Genomic DNA, 17,969 nt, shown 5'->3' with positions numbered 1-17,969 from the left:
TTTTAGGTCTCTGGAATTTTGACTAACCAGCTTCAAATTGGGGTTCCCTTGCCCCTAGGGCTCTTTGGGTTCAGGAGCAGCTCATAGAACTCGGGAAACACTTACACATTTATTATAAAGGATACAAATGAAGACATGCATGGGGCGAGGTATGCAGGAAGGGGCACAGAGTTTTCATGCCCTCCCTGGGCAGGGCACCCTTCAGGAAATTATTCTACAAGTTCAGCTATTTGGAAGCTATCCAAACCAGTCCTCTTGGGTTTTATGGAAACTTCATGATGCAGGCATGATTGATTAAACTATTGGCCACTGGTAATCAACTTGACCTTCAGCACCACCCCCTCTCACCCTCCCTGGTGGTTGGGGGTGGGGCTGAAAGTCCCAACCCTTGAATCAAGCTCTTTCTTTTCCAGTGACCAGCCCCACACTGAAGCTATCTATCAACAATAGCATACAGAAAGTGCTTGGAGATTCCAAGGATTTTAAGGTTGTAAGACAGGAAATGGGGATAAAGACTAAATATATATTTCACAGTATCTCACATAGTGACTTCTGGATAGCAAGAAAAACAGCACATGTCAATCACTCACTGTACCAGCCAAGGGTGCCACATCTTTTTCCTCCTATAAGGGAAGATGCTTGCTGTCCCGCCCCCTCTGATGTGGGTCAGCTGTGTCCCTACCCAAAACCTCATCTGAATTGTAGTCCCCTTAATCTCCATAATTCCCACATGTCAAGGGTGAGACCAAGTGTGGAGGGGGAAAATTCCCCCATGCTGTTCTTGTGATAATAAGTGGGTTTCATGAGATCTGATGGTTTTATAAGCATCTGGTATTTCCCCTGCTTGCGCTCACTCCGTCCTGCCTCCCTGTGAAGAAGAAGCCAACTTCTCCTTTGCTTCGGCCAAGATTGTAAGTTTCCTGAGGCCTCCCCAGCCATGCTGAACTGTGAGTCAATTAAACCTCTTTCCTTTATAAATTACTAAGTCTCGGGTGTTTCTTCATAGCAGTATGAGAACAAACTAATACACCTCCTGAGCACTTGAAATTTTCCAAAATATTCACGTGATGTGTGCACCATAGAGATATTGATAAGTAGCATTAATTTGAAGCTATACAGTTTGGGACTTTATGAAAACAACAATGACTTGTCAAGAGTATCCTTCCACCCAATGAAACAAGAACTTCACAAGCTTTAGGTAGTGTAAGTTAACCAGGTACAGCAACCATAAATGCTATTTGGTGGGTTTCTAATTATAATTTACTATTCTGTCTCTCAAGGAGCTATTAAAAAAGCAACAAGCCTTTGTGGCAGTTGCAGCAGCCCAGAGAGATGTTTATTCTCAGATGAGGGAATGTAGGGTAGTGGTGAACACAGGCACAGTAGTCGGATGGGATAGCTTCTTATCTAGTTGAGTGACCTTGGACAAATGATTTATCCCCTGTGTGACTCAGTTTTCTTATCTGAAAAATTAGGATAATTTGTTTTCCCCTAAGGTCTAATCACAAGACATCACATTGAGGTAGGAGAGCAGCAGGATTGTTTTCAGGGCCCTGCTGTAGGATGAAGCAGAGAAACCAGCTAAAAACAGCTAGGACTAGGAATTATAATACATTTACATGCTATAAGACACTCCTATCAGTGCCGTGACAATTCACAAATGCCATGGCAATGCCCAGAATTTACCTTATATGGTTCAGGGAACTCTCTGCCCTCTTTCCAGAAAGTTCATGAATAACTCACCCCTTATTTAGCATATAGTTAGGAGTAGGTATAAATATAGCTAGCCAGCAATTCACGAGTGCTACTCTGCCTATGTAGTAGCCCTGCTCTGTCTATGGAGCAGCCATTTTGCTGTACACTGTTGCCCTAATAAACCTGCTTTCTTTCACTATCAAGAAAACTCCTGAGCTGAGCTCCAATTTAGGGGTTTACTTGCATCAATGTCACCTATAAAGGTTAGCTATTCTTACTATTTTTGAGTTTTCTCATTCCACAGAGCTTCATCTGTGGGCTCTACATGGTCCATGTCTCACAGGGGCCAGAATTGCTGCACATATTTCCCTGAATTTGTGCCTCATATTTAACTGCAGAATATTCACAGCTTCTCAGACTGTAAATAGTCAAATTCCAGACCTTACATTCAGAGCTTGCATTGACTGTTTAAAGAAGGTTGCTTTCCTCCAGCCACATGCCCACTGCCTGCTCCTTATTGCCGTTGGAATGGTTTCCTTTCATTTTCTCAGCCCTGAAGGTGTTTGTTTCTCTTTGAGGGTTCTTTTTCTGACCGTCCATTTTTAAGATCCATTTTCAGCTTTATGTTGTCACAAAAAAGGGTTTTATTTCCTTGTTTCCTGGGGGACAAAACTCCTTTCACATTGGATACTATGTTGGCTGGCCACTTGGAAGAGAATAGATGCTTTTATGATTTCTGTAGCCTGGGATTAAATGTCCTTGTCTACTGCAGCTCAGCTCCAGGTCTGGTATTTAATTATTTTACAGACATCATCATAGAGGCCACACAAGTTTGTTTCATTTAAATGTGTAACAAAAGCACTGAGTGATAAGTAATTGTACAAAATCATAACCCATATAAATAATTGGGCATAAAAATTTAAAAGTATGACAGGAATTTGCTTATAGGTAGAATTCCTTATGTTTCCACTTGCTCAGAACAATCCTCATTAATGCGAGAAGTTTAGCACCCCATTTAGTCATATATTTTCCCTAGATTTCTAAAAATTTTTAATGAAGCATTTAATAGTTGCATTAAGATGAGTGTGGAAGGTTTTGCTAGGCCTCCACATTTTATTTTCAGCTTCTGCTTGTCTTTTCTGGTAGTATGTGACATGAATGTGCAATGAATAAAATGCTCACTTTAGCATATGGCTAAATCTGAAAAACAAGTGATAACCTATCTTAGTCAGCTCAGGCTGTTATAACAAAATACCATAGACTGTGTGGCTTTAACAACAAACATTTATTTCTCACAGATCTGGAGGTTGGATGTCCAAGATTAGGGTGCCAGCAGGATCAGGTTCTTGGTAAGGAGCCTCTTCCTGGTTTATAGGTAACTGTCTTCTTGTTGTTCCTCGCCTGGCCTAAAGAGAGCTAGCTCAGCCTCTGGCCTCTTTTTATAAGGGCACTAACCCCACTCATGAGGGCTCTACCCTCATGAACTAATTACCTCCCAAAGACCCCACCTCCAAATGCCATCCCACTGGGATTTAAGTTTCAACATATGAATTTGGGAGTTACATATTCAGTTCATTGCATAACTCATTCTAATTTCCAGACACACATAATGAATGCCTTCTGATATGGATTGGCTATGTCCCCACCCAAATCTCATCTTGAATAGTAGCTCCCATAATTCCCATATGTGGTGGGAGGGACCTGGTGGGAGATAATTGAATCATGGAGGTGGTTTCTCCCATACTGTTCTCATGGTAGTGTCTCATGAGTCTGATTGTCATGAATCAGTCTCATGAGATCTGATTGTTTTATAAGGGGTTTCCCCTTTCTCTTGGCTCTCATTCTTTCTTGCTTGCCACCATGTAAGATGTTCCTTTGCTTTTCCTTCATCTTCTGGCATGATTATGAAGCCTCTCCAGCCATGTGGAACTGTAGGTCAATTAAACTTCTTTCCTTTATAAATTAGCCAGTCTTGGGTGTGTCTTTATTTATTGATCCAACATTGTATTTTCTCTACTCTGATTCCACACCCTGAAGATCAGTTCTAACATATATTCCTCAGGTTTATGTCAATATAAGTTGGAAAATCATGCAGTTATTTTGGTGTTCATTGCATCTCATTACAGGCCACATTTTGAGTCTCACCCTCTGAGGCCCTCAGGGACCTGTGGTGGGAGTATGTCCTGGAGAGCACCAGCAGCCCTTTGTAAAGCAGCCAAGTGAAAGTTATTAGAGTTCTTCAGGCAGCAGCAGTAGAAGTGCAAAGAAGGCTTGGTGGAATTTGGGGGTACAAGGTCTCCAGATTTATCAGAATCTGTCCATATGACCCAATCCCAATTTTTAGAATCTCATTCCTTCCCAATCATTGCCCTAATTTTAACAAAATAGACCATGCAAGTTTGAGTATTCAGTTTGCCTTGTAATTCACCCACCAGCAAGATAAACTTTGAATTCGTTTTTCAGAATCTCAGTTCTGTAGTCACAGGAGATAAGAATTTTTTTTAAGTTTTTTATTTATTTTAGAGACAAGACCTTGCCCTGTCACCCAAGCTGGAGAACAGTGGCACAATCATAGCTCACTTTAACCTCAAACTCTTGGGTTCAAGTGATCCTCCCACCTCAGCCTCCCAAGTAGCTAGGACTACAAGTACGTGCCACCACACTTGGATAATTTTAAAAAAATGTTGTAGAGACAGATTCTCACTATGTTGCCCAGGCTGGTCTTGAGCACTTGGCCTCAAGTAATTCTCCCACCTCAGCCTCCCAAAGTGCTGGCATTACAGGCGTGAGTCACTGCCCCTGGCCCGTATTGTTTTTAAGGCAGTCATAGGAGCTTTTCAGGTCCTTATGCAGATATTAACCTGGGAATTTAAAGCCCTGAACTCATTTTTTTCCCCCTAAGTTCTACAGCACATTTAGAAGAAACCAACCTACTCCATTTTACTCTGCATTTTGCTAAAATGTTCTAGAGTAGTAAATACTTTGTCCCCAAGAGACTTCTCTTCTATGGGTAAATGTAGTTAAAAATTTGCATGACTTTTGCAACTGATTGCCATGTTCTGCCCCTTTGCCGCTGGAAACAGGGTCATTAATGCCTTCAAGTCTAATCAAATTGAAAACCAACTCCATATTCAATTCAAAGAACTTGTCCTTAAGATGTTGTCCATCTGAAACTCTTTCTTGGTGCCAAATTCTGTATCAATTCAAATTCAATCAGAAAAGCAAAACCACTAGGAATATATATTATGTACATTTATATAAAAGTATATATAAAAGGACGGGCAAGGTGGCTCATGCCTGTAATCCCAGCACTTTGGGAGGCCGAGGTGGGCAGATTGCCTGAGGTCAGGAGTTTGAGACCAGCCTGGCCAACATGGTGAAACCCCATCTCTTTAGTAGATATATTTTTAGTAAATATAAAAATTAGCCAGGCGTGGTGGCAGGCACCTGTAATCCCAGGTACTTGGGAGGTTGAGGCAGGAGAATCGCTAACCTGGGAGGTGGAGGGTCACAGTGAGCCAAGATAGCGCCATTGGACTCCAGCCTGGGCAACAGGAACGATACTTCATCTCAAAAAAAAAAAAAATTATATATACAATAAGGAACTTGTTAAAAGGATTTGACCTCATGTAATTGTGGTTGTTCTTTAAACAGTCTCTCTAAAGTTGCTGTCTTGTGCTGATGCTGAGTAGCAGGGTCAAGCCCTATCTAAGTCACAGCATCAAAAATTGTGAAAATCAACACTACCATTAGCATAGGGCTTTCTTCAAAAATCCCAGGGACTAGAAGGCCCTGAGAGAGCGGTCTAACTAAGGGAACAAGAGTGAAATGTTTTACAAGACTTGGGCAAGAGGCATTTTGTGAAAGTTTAACTAGTTTAACTTGGATGATTCTCTGAGAAGGAAGGGATTGTTCTGTGGATGTGCAGCCACTGTTTGGGCAATTTGGATTTTATTGGTCAGTGTAAATCAAAGACAGTGGTGAGTCTCAATCATTTTAAAAGGCTTATTCGCCAAGGTTAAGGATGCACCTGGGAAAAAGACATGGAACCATACGAAAAACTGTGGTTCATGCTTTTTCCAAAGAGGGTCTGGGACCTCAATATTTTAAGAGAAAAGGGCATATATTGGGAAAAGAGTAAAAAAAGTTTATAAGGGTGTGGGTAGATAAGAGGCAAGCAGTTGCATTCTTTTGAGTCTTTGATCACCATTTATTGAATACACATCTTACATGTGAGAAAGAAGTACAGAAATAGTCACTTATGCATTTTTCTCGCTCAGTGAAACTGCATTTTTATGTAAGATAAAATAAACATAGGGCAGAGGAAGCAATACATTTGTCTCAGGTGAGCAGAGGGATGACTTTAAGTTCTGTCCTTTGTTCCATGCTTGTGAAGATAAATAAGCTATCAACTTACATTGTCAGGATGAAATTCAACAAAGCTGTTTTAGGGTAAAGATCTTGGAGCCCATTGTGGGCACATGGTGAGGGAGGTATGTAGCTCTTTTATCTCTGTACCTATCTTATTTAAGAAAAAAAGGAGAGGCAGCTTTGTGTGACTCCGTTCCCAGCTTGACTTTTCACTTTGGCTTAGTGAGCCTGGGGCCCCAAGATTTATTTTCCTTTCACACCAGCTACAGGAACAAGGACATGCAAGGGCCACAGTGAAAAACTCTTGTCTCTCCACCATGTTCTCAGGCAGTGGGAAGCCCTTTTCTCCTCCCCTAGAAATGGTAGGGATGCATGTTACTCTTCTTTATATTCTCAGTGACCAGCATGGTACCTGACACAGAGGGGTGCTCCATAAATATTTATTGACTTAAAATAACCTGAAGAGAGAAGAGGAAGGTGCTGGAGAAAAAGATAAACAATTGTAGAGTAAGATCATAAAGAAGTGGAAGTAGTTTTAAAAGCACAGATGGGCTGACTCAGGAAAGGAGAAGAAATCTTATTCTCTGAGACAAGGAAGGAAGAATTTGTGTAAGAATAAAAGTATTTAATAAAAGTATTTATAAGGAAAGCTCTCACACCTGTAATCCCAGCACTTTGGGAGGCCAAGGCGGGCGGATCACCTGAGGTTGGGAGTTCAAGACCAGCCTGACCAATATGGAGAAACCCCATCTCTACTAAAACTACAAAAAATTAGCTGGGTGTGGTGGTGCATGCCTGTAATTCCGGCTACTTGGGAGGCTGAGGTAGGAGAATCGCTTGAACCCGGGAGGCGGAGGTGACCCAAGATCATGCCAATTGCACTCCAGTCTGGGTGACAGAGCGAGACTGTCTCAAAAAAAAAAAAAAAAAAAAAAAAGGGAAAGCTAAGTGGGAGTTATTTAACAGCCTTGGCATTTGTATTTCTTGGAGAATTGGGAGTAAGATGAAAAATTTTAGGGACAATGGTAACAATGCTATTTTCTTTTTATTTTTTAATTATACTTTAAGTTCTAGGGTACATGTGCACAACGTGCAGGTTTGATACATAGGTATACATGTGCCATGTTGGTTTGCTGCATCCATCAACTTGACATTTATGTTAGGTATTTCTCCTAATGCTATCCCTCCTCGAAGTCCCCACCCACCAACAGGCCCCAGTGTGTGATGTTCCCCGCCTTGTGTCCATGTGTTCTCGTTGTTCATCTCCCACCTATGAGTGAGAATATGCAGTGTTTGGTTGTCTGTCCTTGTGATAGTTTGCTCAGAATGATGGTTTCCAGCTTCATCCATGTCCCTGCAAAGGACATGAACTCATCATTTTTTAAGGCTGCATAGTATTCCATGGTATATATGTGCCACATTTTCTTAATCCAGTCTATCATTGATGGACATTTGGGTTGGTTCCAAGTCTTTGCTATTGTGAATAGTGCTGCAATAAACATATGTGTGCATGTGTCTTTATAGTAGCGTAGATTTATAATCTATATTTGGGTTATATACCCAGTAATGAGATCGCTGGGTCAAATGGTATTTCTAGTTCTAGATCCTTAAGGAATCGCCACACCATCTTCCACAATGGTTGAACTAATTTACACTCCTGCCAACAGTGTAAAAGCGTTCCTATTTCTCCACATCCTCTCCAGCATCTGTTGTTTCCAGACTTTTTAATGATTGCTATTCTAACTGGTGTGAGATGGTATCTCATTGTGGTTTTGATTGGCATTTCTTTGATGACCAGTGATGATGAGCATTTTTTCGCATGTCTGTTGACTGCATAAATGTCTTCTTCTGAGAAGTATATTTCTTGGAGGCTTTGTTCATTTCTTTTCACTCTTTTTTCTCTAATCTTGTCTTCTCGCTTTATTTCATTAATTTGATCTTCAGTCAGTGATATCCTTTCTTCCACTTGATTGAATTGTCTATTGAAGCTTGTGCATGCGTCACAAATTTCTCGTGCTTTGTCTGTCAGCTCCATCAGGTCATTTAAGGTCTTCTCTACACTGTTTATTCAGTTAGCCATCTGTCTTACCTTTTTTAAAGGTTGCAATGGGTTAGAACATGCTCCTTTAGCTCAGAGAAGTTTGTCATTACCAACCTTCTAAAGCCTACTTCTGTCAACTCATCAAACTCATTCTCCATCCACTTTTGTTCCCTTGCTGGAGAGGAGCTATGATCCTTTGGAGGAGAAGAGGTGCTCTGTTTTTTGGAATTTACAGCTTTTCTGCTCTGATTTTTCCCCATCTTTGTGATTTTATCTAACTTTGGTCTTTGATGTTGGTGACCTACAGATGGGATTTTGGTGTGGATGTCCTTTTTATTGATGTTGATGCTATTCCTTTCTGTTTGATAGTTTTCCTTCTAATAGACCTTTCAGCTGCAGGTCTGTTGGAGTTTGCTGGAGGTCCACTCCTGACCCTGTTTGCCTGGGTATCACCAGCAGAGGCTGCAGAACAGCAAACATTGCTGCCTGATCCTTCCTCTGGAAGCTTCCTCCAAGAGGGGCACCCGCCTGTTGAGGCATCTGTCGGCCCCTACTGGGAGGCGTTTCCCAGTCAGGCTACACAGGTGTCAGGGACCTACTTAAGGAGGCATTCTATCCATTCTCGGAGCTCGAATGCCATGTTGAGAGAAACACTGCTCTCTTCAGAGCTGTCAGACAGGGATGTTTAAGTCTGCAGAAGCTGTCTGCTGCCTTTTGTTCTACTATGCCCTGCCCCCAGAGGTGGAATCTATAGAGGCAGTAGGCCTTGCTGAGCTGTGGTGGGATCTACCCAGTTCATGCTTCCCAGCCTTTTTGTTTACACTGTGAGCTACTCAAGCCTCAGCAATGGCAGACGCCCTTACCCCCATCAAGCTGCAGTGTCGCAGGTCGATCTCAGACTGCTGTACTAGCAGTGAGCAAGGCTCTGTGGGCTTGGGACCCACTGAGCCAGGCATGGTAGGGTATCTCCTGGTCTGCTAGTTGCTAAAACTGTGGGAAAAGTGCAGTTTTTGGTCAGGAGTGTACTGTTTCTCCAGGTACAGTCTGCAACAGCTTCCCTTGGCTAGGAAAGGAAAATCACCTGACCCCTTGCACTTCCCGGGTGAGATGATGCCCTGCTCTGCTTCAGCTCGCCCCCTGTGGGCTGCACCCACTGTCCAACCAGTCCCAATGAGATGAACTAAGTACCTCAGTTGGAAATGCAGAAATCACCTGTCTTCTGCATTGATCTTGCTAGGAACTGCAGACTGGAGCTGTTCCTATTCAGCCATCTTGGAAGCGACCCCAACAATGCTGTTTTCAAAGGTGGTGTGGGGAAAATGTGTTTGCAGGAGGAGTGTCCTTAGGGAGAAGATAGCAAAGTTACCTGTAGGAAATCTTGCTCTTTTGTTTGGAAACACCATTCTAAAGTCTCTTCCATATGCAGATTTTATCCTATAGGAGCTGTTATCATGTGGAGGAGTCTAATTATGGTCTCTGTCATAATATATGAGGCAGTCTTCACTGAGGCCAGAGAATATCAATAATATGGATAAGTAGGTTTAGAATTTGTGATCATGAACCTGATTTGAAAGAATGTAAATTTTTGTGTTTCTGAGCTCAATTTTAGGACATCTTTTCCAGTTAATGAAGAAAAAAACTTAACCTTGTGAGAGACAAAAACAGACAATGACAGACAATATGAAAATAGAGCTTCAACACACAACCTGAAGCATTCTTCCCAGGAAACTACCATCCAGTCTATAAGAAACAGCCCAGAAAACCAGCTTGTTGTAAGTCACACTTGCAAGTGGCCAGATTACTATGTCTAGTAACAATCCAAAAAGCTAAACAATCAATTCAGTAATAATCTGTCCAAAATAGCCAGGACTTGATCAATAACTGGCAGCTTCCTTAACTTTTGTCTCTACTTCCAACTTAGGACTAACCAGAGGAAGCTGGATGCACCCCCGTTCCAATTACATAGGACACTCCTTCTAGTCAGTCACCTCCATCTTCCCTGGACCAGCAGCCTCCACTCAGAGCACATTCGAAGTCTTGGCTTTTTCCTCGATTAAGTTTTCCCACTCATCTCTCTGCCTTTCAGTCTCTGCCAAAACACAGTGATGGTGGTTGACCGCTTGCTATAGCAAGCTCTGTATAAATAGCCTTTGTTTTTCCTATTTGGTTGGTCTTTGCTCATTTTCACACTTGCACACTCAATATAACACTGATTTATGATATAACACTGGGCTTTCTACCTGTAACCAAGTACCCCTACTTTTCTAAGAGAAAGAGAATAAGTTATTTTGTATATTTTTTTCTTCTTTTGTCTTTCCTCCTTTTTCCCTATTCCCCACTTCCTACTTAGCTCTTTGGAGATGCAATTATAACCTTTTACCTTTCCTTCACCAGGGATACAGGGCAAGCTTATCTAACTATGTGCTTAGGAGCTCCAGAGCAGAAACCTCTTCCACCAGAAGATTGCCTTGAAAGACAACAGTCAATTTACAACCCGAAGTATGCCCACTACAAAACTCTCTCCCACCTGCAGAGCACCTTGGGACAGCAACCATTTTACAATCTAATTCTGCTGGTAAAGGTGCCAGCTCGACCACCCAGTAGATAAGGCACCAAAACGAGTCACATAGACCCCTCGCTGCTTGCCCCTGTCCTGCATGTCATTCATGCCAAGTCCCCCTTTTAAAAACCCCTGCTTTCTGCCCCAGCAGGGAAGCAGTACCCTTAAGGTAGGAAGCCTGTACTTCTTCCTCTAAGTGAGCTATGGCATAAAAAGTCGCTTTCTTTATATCAGACCCTGCTCTTGTTAATTGTACTCTGCAAGTGGTGAGTTACTGACCCTGCAATTTGGCTACATATGTGCTGTCACACACAGAGCTCTCTCCTTCCCTTGTGCTTTCATCTTTCCCCTGGGGTGGCAGAGTTCACAGAGGCTTCCATTACTATCTTGGTTTCCAGGATAGGTGTCTGGTCCAAGTACCATTCTCTTTCTCAAAATGTGGCCTCTGCTCAAGGTATTCGTGCTGTAGCCTTTGGGTATTGGCCTTTTATTCTTTTTGCATCTATGCCTGAAGTGTCCCAATATCCCACAGTGGACTTCAGTTATCAGCGTCTGTGTTCTCTACTCCCCTTGCTCCGACCAGGCCCTTTGGATCCACCAGCCCTCTAAGTACTCCTGTGCCCCATAGAGGCTTGTGGGACTCCTAGCATCTTTCTCCTCACCTTACTGGTGTGCAAGGGACTCTGGAAGGCTGTCCTGAGGCCCGTCTATCTGTATGGATGTTTGTTTTGATTCCTTGCTTCACAGAACTTTGAATCACACCTCTCTGTTTACAGCTTCATCTCCACATGGTAGAACCAGAAACTCTTGTTCCCAGTCTTCTTTTCCACCAGGACACTGATGCATGGCTTGGACTCTGCAAATCTCACATGTGGCTTCAACCTAGAGAGCACTGATGTGAAGAAGGCAGTATGGTGTGAAGTAATGAAAGTGAGGGTGATGGTGAAAGATCAGCTTGCAGAGGAACCCTTTGAAAGACAAATCTTTGAAAGGTAGTGTCTGGCCGAGGGTGTGCACAATGAGCTCAGGTGTCTGTGCCCAGAGGCAGTGGCTACAGGGTTTTTCCTGAACACCTCACAGTATAATTTGGGTATTGTTTCTGGCTTTCCTTCCCTGCCCTTCCTGATATTCTGGGAGCTCCCTATTATATGTTAATATATTCTTTTAAGTTGAAACTAAAGTGAGTTGTTAATTTGCAGCCATGAGCCCTATCAAATTCTTTCTCAACCATCGCTAATCTGTAATTTACGGACCCTGTGGCCCAAGCAAAAACAGGCCATATCAGATATTGATAGCCAAGCGGCTTTCTGTATTCCAGGCTACACCCTAAGAAGGACAGCACCTTGAGCAAAACAGTTAAGTAGAGGAGGAAATAGCTATGAGAAGTAGCCAGTGACCCAAACACAAGGCTACAGGGCTGGAGCAAGAGATGACAAACGGCAACCAGAACTGATTTGGAGAATGGCTGTGCTTTCCCCAGATTCCCAGAAATCCCCACTTGTCATTTTTTATAGGCACACAGGGTGGGGCAGAGGAGACTCTGCTATTTGAGATTATAGTACAGGATGGCAACTCCTGGATCTGAAGAACTTGAAGGCAGTCAGGTTCCAGAACCCACTAACATGAAGGGCTTGCTGCATAGCAGGCCCCGTTCTAAGTTGGGAATGTTCTTTATCTCATTTAATCTTCTTGACAGCCCTCAGAAGTAGTATCATACTTTCATTGTACAGATTTAAAAATTGAGGCTTGGGCCACACAGTTGGTAAGCTGTGGAATCATGACACAGAAAGGGAGGAAAGGTGAGGAGAGGGAGCTATCCAAAGTGCCTGCCATTTGTTTAAATTCATAATATAGTTTTTCGGTTAAGAATCTCTCACTTTGTTACAAAAAAATTACAAAAAAGAGAAATATGTTAATTAATGATGTGGTTTGACTGTGTCCCCACCCAAATCTTATCTTGTAGTTCCCATAATCCCCACATGTTGTGGGTGGGACCAGGTGAAGATAATTGAATCATGGGGGTGGTTTTCCCATCCTGCTCTTGTGATAGTGAGTTCTCATGCGATCTGATGGTTTTAGAAGGGACTTCCTCCTTTACTGGGCACTCATTTCTCTTTCCTGCTGCCATTTGAAGAAAGACGAGTTTGCTTCCTTTTCCACCGTGATTATAAGTTTCCTGAGGCCTCCCCAGATCTGCGGAACTGTGAGTCAATTAAACCTCTTTCCGTTATAAATTACCCAGTCTTGGGTATGTCCTTGCAGCAGTGTGAGAATGGACTAATACAATTAAATAAAGACTCTAATATGATTGCAAGGTTGATATGCCCTTACCTGAAAAAAAGGCATAAGTGAGAATGGGGGCTTCCTTCCATTAGTCTGTGGCCACAAAAGAACACATGGTTCCCCCAAAAGTTGTTTGCTTTTCCAGTTCTAAGGACGAGTGATTATAAAGGTATGTTCACAGTTGCTCATAAACAACTCTCGGAGCTACACCTTGTCCTTGCTATTGTCAGCACTGTTTCAGTCGGGAGGCAGGATGGTTTTTAGTTCTGCTGACAGGGTCATTTGACTTGGCTGACTCTCGCTGCTCTTCTGGTTTCTTTATCCTCTCAGGTATCAGCCTATGCCAACCACAGACCACACAGAAATAGGAGGCAGGCTTTGGTTCGTAGCAAGTGCTTTTCTTGATTCAAAAAGTTGCTGTTTTAGAGCAGTGGTTCGCAAAGTGCAACCCCCAGAGCAGCAGCATCAAAATCACCCAGAAACATATTGGATATGCAAAGTTTCAGGACCACCCCAGAATTACTGACTCAGAAACAGTGAGGGTGAGGCCCAGCAATCTGTGTTTGAACAAATTTCCAGGTGATGCTGATGCTTGTTTGAGTTTGAGGATCACTGATTTAGAGTCAATATTAAATATAAATCCCTAGATGTTTTTTGGAAAAAAAAATAACAGTTTTATTGAGATATAATTCCTATACCATAGAAATCACTCATTTCTAAGTTCTCCACTGTGGCCATTAGCAGAAGCGGCTCCATGGGTGCTGAAGGCTGGCATCCAGCTGCTCCACAGCTCTGAGGGCTGGTTCCAGTGCTCAGGTATGGATAGCATGCTTGTGACCTGTGTGGGCACAGTGATTCCAGCAGTTCCCAATAAGTTGTAGCACCAAATGTTTGATTCAAATAGTTCAATAAGGTTGCCCCTAAGCCCCCTTTGCTGTAGGAGGTCAACAAGGGGATTTGAAGCTTATGGGATGGGGACATGCACGTACCTTACAGGTAGACAGGGAATTCTAAACTAAGACGCATACATTTGAGAGGGATGTCAGGTATCAGGAAAAAAACACTCAGAGAACTTTCCTCTCAACACTGCACGGCTGCTACAGGATCAGGTGAATAGTTTCTCTCCGCAGGTTGAGATGATCTCACTGAGGGGGCCACAGAGTACCTCTTTCTCTAAGTGGATAAAATATTTATTTGTAAGCAACAGATGATAAGGGGTGTCTCCTGGAATTTATTGTTTATGAACATGAAACTCAATTCAATGTGTTTCTGCATTTTGGAAATTTATGGTCTTAGAAAGCACTAATGCAGAAGTGAAAAACATTAAATGAACAAATTTATAATCGTATTTTTAAAAATGCTTTTTATTTGCTCATAAATAGATAGTAAAGAATTCTATATCCTTATGAAGTATGAGCATATAGACCATTATTTTAAAAATTATTTAGTATCTTGAAAGTACAGACATGTTTTCAAATGGCTTGGCTCTTTAATAATTTCAAAGACTATTTTCTTCCTCCTTTGAACTTTGTTGGGTGGCTTTAATCAGGACTATCATTTCAGAGTTTCCAAAAAGCTTCAATAGGGATTCAAGTTTTACTAAAAGAGTGCCAGGTACCACCTAATATTTTGGAGGTGATATCTGAAGTTTTATTTTTTGTAATTTCCCCAAATTTTAATTTGTCTTGCTCAAACAGTTTGGAGTTTGGAACAAATGGAGAAAAAACATGACTCACAGTGAATTCACGGACAGGGGCCAGCACCTAACACTGTCTCCATTTCCTCTCTAGAACTTTCATCCCTCATCTCAGCAGTGCTGTTTGCCAGCCAGTCTTGCTTAGGGGATTAACATGAGAACATCAGGAAATGAAGGATTCCATCTTGTCAGACAGAGAAACAGAGTGGTTTCTTTCTCAAACCAGATTTCCTATTGTGAAGCAAGGTTCCCACAGCTCTGGCGGGAGTCCTTCCCAGATATGCATGGTGTCAGATCTTATTTCTCAGTAGGAATGCAAACAGCACATTCACCCCAGTTTGCTTTCTGTTTTCAGTGAATTTCTTTCTCTAGCTGGATTAAGATCTTTGGTTACATCAGATCTCCAGCTGGCAGAGGCCCAGACCTAATTTTTCAAAGAGAACATTGTCATGGAAGATATTTTAAAAAGTGGATGTAATTTTGCCTGTAGCAGCTATGGGAGGTGAGCCACCAAGTGACACTGAGCCTCGGGGAAATAATCTTTATCAAATCCACTTTTTCTTCTTTGGAGAAGTGATAAAACATTCTTCAGCATGTCAAACAGTTGTTTTGGACTACAAGCCAAATACATCCTGGAAACCTCGGTGGGTTACATAGCTCAGGAAAAGGAAATATTTAAAATTGCAAGATCTGTCAGACAACAAAATGATCCTGCCTCTAACAGTAAGGGCTAGATTTCCAGTAGCAATAGGGCACCCTCCACCTGGACCCCTGTGAGCAATGGGATAGATTGGCAAAAGCAGTGGCCTTATGCACCAGCAGTTCCTGATAAGTTGTAGCACCAAATGTTTGACTCAAATAGTTCAATAAGGTTGCCCCTAAGACCCCTTTACTGTAGGAGGTCAATAAGGGGATTAGAAGCTTATGGGATGGGGGCATGCATGTACCTTACAGGTAGAAATTAAGCAGTGTTTAATTCAACGGTCTAAGGAATAGTTCATTCCTGAGCCTTGTCAGAGGCAGGAATTAGGAGCTTCTGGAGACAGAGCAGGGCAATGAGCATGCAAGCTCACTGCAGGACACTGGTGAGGTGGGAGGGCCCTGCGAACTCCTCTGCCTACTATTAGCTGCATGGTCTTAGGCAAGATACTCAGCTGGAAACAAGACTAACAGCAGTGAAAATCACTTGGATATGTGAGAAGAAAATGAGATAAAATATAGAACCACCTTGGAACAGTCATGCAGCCCTGAAAGATAGGTACTCTCGCCCCTCCCAGCCCTTGTTAATGCTTGTCTGATCCAAAGACCTTCTCCCCATGCTGGACTTACTAAGCAGGATTCCCTTGCCTTCTAGAGACACAAATTAACTTAAATTAACCTAAGCAAAAAATGATTACTTGAAATGTCTGAGAAAGAGGAGATTAGGAATGAGAAGATCGACTATTGGAGTGAGGTTGTCATCTCTCTCCCTCCTTCTCTCTCTCCCTTGGCTTTCTCTGTCTGCTGGTGTGTTATTTTTGTTCTCTCCTTCTATAGACTTTCATTCTCCATAAATGGGGAACATGTTTCTTGGAGTCCAGACCCACATTCTCCAAAGATGCCACATGCATGGAACAGTATTCACATGAACTTTACATAACAGTCCCATGGATTGCACACTCTGGTGGCTTTCATTCAAAATTAAAATAAATAAAAATAAAAGTAAATTTAACAAAAGTCCTGCAGAACATTGTGGTTGGTCTGATTGGGATATATGCTCTCTCCTATCCAAGGGGGCAGGGCAAGGTCTTTTAGAAAAAGAAGGAAGTTGGTTCCAAGTCTTTGCTATTGTGAGTAGTGCTACAATGCACATGTACCCTAGAACTTAAAGTATAATTTAAAAATATATATATATATTTAAAAAAAAAAGAAAAAAAAGGAAGATGGTTGGGAAGAGGAAACGGTAGTATTAAACCCAAACAACAGGATTTACCTGTGGGGATGAGGTGCGAGGAGTCTCCCATCACCAGTCAGCACCCGCCTGTGAGAGTGAACTGAGGGACCGCCATCACCAGTGCCCACCTGTGACAGTGAACTGAAGGGACCACCATCACCAGTGCCCACCTGTGACAGTGAACTGAGGGACCCCCATCAACAGTACCCACCTGTGAGGATGAATTGAGGGACCCCCCTCACCAGTACCCACCTGAGAGGAAGTTGAGGACCCCCCATCACTAGTCAACGCCCACCTGTGAGGATGAGCTGAGGACCCCCCCATCACCAGTCAGCGCCCATCTGTGAGGATGAATTGAGGGACCCTCCATCACCAGTCAGCACCCACCTGTGAGGGTGAACTGAGGGTCCCCCAGCACCAGTCAATGTTTGTGATGAAGAGGTCAGTCAGTGCCTGCCTGTGAAGACAACCTGACAACCATCATCTGCTCGGGTTTCTCACAGGGTCTTCATGACTAGAGGCTCAGGTGTCAACAACATCCCAGCTCCACAGCCACAGACAGCCTCCTCCATTGCCTGAGGCCTGTCAGGCCACTGACCTGCACCTTGCTCTTCTGTGGGATGCTAGGCTGGGGACGGGGAGAGATTACCTCTCCACATTGGAGAGCACCCTTGTTTTTGTGCTCAGAACTTGCATCCCTACCACGTTTACTGACCCTCCTGTGGACTTCTAGAATCAAGGTAAAAGCCATGATTGCTGTTAGGGCAGTAGATGCAGTGCCTTTGACTGGCATGTAGGTGGCAGCAGGGGCACAGGCTGAGGCAGTGGAAACAGCGAATGCTGCAGGTTTGAGTGGGATGAGTACGGGGGTTCAGGGGAGTGGGTCCAAGGCTTTTGTTACTTTTCCCTAAGTGGTAGGGTAAGCAGGTTGGCCCCACCCTGGCAAGAGTAGAACGTGAGGTCCTGAGCCCATGTGGAGGCTGTCAGTATGGTGGCCTTGGTGGGGAGTGAGGAGAAATGATGTCATTTCAAGAGACCAAATAAACCAAAGCTTTAGGTTTGCTGACCCGGACCTGGCCTCTCTTGGAGTAAGCCCCTGGCTCCTATTTGGCTGTTTTAGGAAGATGGGACATTTGGGAACAGTTGTAACTATTGGGAGAAGATAGGGGCTGTAAAAGAATCCAAAGCATTCCTCATTTGTCAGACCTGATAATTTAGGGCATTTTTAATCCGGAGGCAAAGTGTAACCACAAAAGGGCCCTGTGAGAATGAGTGAGAGATTTGGGCAGAAATGTCCCAGGGGCAGCCCAGTCCTTCTCTGGGAGAATTTGAATCCAGGGTCAAGCACTTTGGGAACTCCATGGTGATACTCCTGGGAAGAGCCACCCAC

General features: G+C 43.0%; 1 annotated feature.

Moving 5' to 3' along the window:
• Positions 17,376-17,565: an enhancer, noted in NCBI's record as "active region_27403". NCBI's record gives its function as "activates an Ori minimal core promoter by ATAC-STARR-seq in GM12878 lymphoblastoid cells {active_cell/tissue: GM12878}" and the evidence as "EXISTENCE:reporter gene assay evidence [ECO:0000049][PMID:35858748]".

This window comes from Homo sapiens, chromosome 8 (assembly GCF_000001405.40).
Source record: "Homo sapiens chromosome 8, GRCh38.p14 Primary Assembly".
Classification (NCBI taxonomy): Eukaryota; Metazoa; Chordata; class Mammalia; order Primates; family Hominidae; genus Homo; species Homo sapiens.
Note: the sequence above shows the minus strand (reverse complement) of the source record. Positions and strands in the feature narration are given on the sequence as shown.